The 2,206-nt window shown below is 43.5% G+C and overlaps 1 annotated feature.

The window, feature by feature from the left end:
* Positions 665-959: an enhancer, noted in NCBI's record as "tiled region #1653; HepG2 Activating non-DNase unmatched - State 4:PromP". NCBI's record gives its function as "activates a minimal TATA promoter and a strong SV40 promoter by Sharpr-MPRA in HepG2 cells {active_cell/tissue: HepG2}" and the evidence as "EXISTENCE:reporter gene assay evidence [ECO:0000049][PMID:27701403]".

The following is a 2,206-nucleotide window of genomic DNA, read 5'->3' on the forward strand; positions in this document are numbered from 1 at the left end:
TCTCTGAAGCCCACTTCAATCAGAACTCAATCCTGTCCACTCCAACAAAGCTGTGATAGTCTGTGTCATGACTGCCTTGACGAAAGCCAGCCAGGACACCCAAATTCTGGGGTTATTTTTTGCTCTTACCTCACTGGCTCCTCAGAAACATTCAACACAGATAACAGCACCATTCTTCAAATCCTTTCCCCCATGGCTTCCAGGGCACTGTAGTTTCCTGGTTTCCTAACCTCCCTCTCCTGGTCCCCACCACTGGATCTTCTTCCTCACTTTGTCCCCTAATCTACCTGCTGATAACTGGCCCTTACCCTTAGTTTCAGAACCATATATTCAGCCCTTATTTGATATCTCCACAGGGAAGTTTAACAGAGTTCATATTTAATGTGTCCAAAACAATATTCTTGATCTTCCCCTCTCAACCTATTCCTCGCATATTGTGCCCCATCTTGGTAAATGACCTTACTGTCTACCCAGTTGCTCCGACTGAAAATATGAGAGTAACCCTTGACTCCTTTTCCTTTACTTTCCACAGCTAACTGACTGACAGGTCCTATCAGCTTTATCTCCAAAATGTATCCTGAGTCACTCTCTCCAGCCCTGCTGCTACCGTTCCAGTCCAAATAACCAACATTTCTTCTGAGTTTCTGCTCCAGCCTCCTGCTTCCACTCTTTCCCCTTCTCCAGTTCTCCATTCTCCCTGCCATAGCTCAGGGTTTCTCAAGCACGTCACGACGGACAGTTTAGGCTGCCTATTTCTTTGTTGTAGGGGGTAGTCCAGACATGGTAGGCTGTTTAGCAGCATCTTTGGCCTTTGCCCACTAGATGTCAGTAGCACTCCCCAGTGTGACAACTGAAGCTGTCTCCAGGCATGGACAAATGTCCCCAGGAGGCAAAAATCACCCCCTGTTGAGAATCCCTGCCATAGCATGAACAATTTTTACTTTTAAAAAATGAGTCATAATTAATGATAATGGTAAGTAGTAAAATTTAAAATAAAATAAAATAACAATAATAGTAATGTCACTTCTCTCATTTAAACCCTCCAGTGACTCCCCAAGTCTCTTACCACAGCCAGGAAGGCTCTGCATGATCTGGTTCCTGCCAACCTCTCTGACTTTAAGGCCCCCATGGCCTGATTTCTATTCCTTATATAAACAAACTCATTCTCACCTCAAGGCAATCACACTTGCTATTCTTTATATCTAGGGCACCTTTCCCTTAACTTCCTGCATGGCCACTTTCTTTACACAGTGGATCCAACTCCTCAGAAACTTCTCTCACCACCCTACCTCGTGTGTCCCCACATCACATTATCATGTCTGTTTTCTTCCCAGCATCTATAGTTAGTTACGTGAGATGACTTCATGTACATGTTTCCTTATCTGTCTCCTCAGCTACAATATAAACTCCTAGTCTTTTGTGCACACCACTATGTCTCCAGTGTCCTGAACAGTGCCAGGCACACAGTAGGTGCCCAAGAAATACTCACTGAGTTTTAAAATTCTTCAAGAGGCCAGGTGTGGTGGCTGTAATCTCAGTGCTTTGGGAGGCTGAGGCAGGAGGATGGCTCGAGGCCAGGAATTCAAGATCAAGGCAACGTAGTGAGACTCCATCTCTAAAAAAATTATTAAAAATTAGCCAGGTATGGTGTCTTGTGCCTGTAGTCCCAGCTATTTGGTAGGCTGAACCAAGAGGATTGCTTGAGCCCGGGAGTTTGAGGCTGCAGTGAGCTAAGATTGTGCCACTGGACTCCAGTCTGAGCAACAGAACAAGACCCTGTTTCTAAAAAAAATAAAATAATGATGATTCGTCATGTCTTGGATTAACATACTGATGTGGTTATATGCAAAGCTTCTCAGTCTAAATGTTTGCAAGTATTTTTAGTAGAACAGGAGACTGGTCACACACAGCTCAAATAAATTCTCATGTTGACATTATGCATTTGATGGGATGCATGTGGAGAATGTCCCTTTCGTAAGGAAAAGTTATTGGCTTGATTGGATTATAATTGGAGCCCAAATACTAATAAACGAAGTTTGGCAAAGTTAAGACCATGAAACTCATCTTTGTAAGTGACCTAAGCTTGTTGAAACCCATTCCCAGAGGTGAAAGCCTAATGAATCTATCTCTTGTGCCATGGGGCCTTCTGTTGATATAAGCTTTGTCAGGGGAATGAGGTATTGACGTTTTAATGTCTGTGGATTAT

This window comes from Homo sapiens, chromosome 5, assembly GCF_000001405.40.
Source record: "Homo sapiens chromosome 5, GRCh38.p14 Primary Assembly".
Classification (NCBI taxonomy): Eukaryota; Metazoa; Chordata; class Mammalia; order Primates; family Hominidae; genus Homo; species Homo sapiens.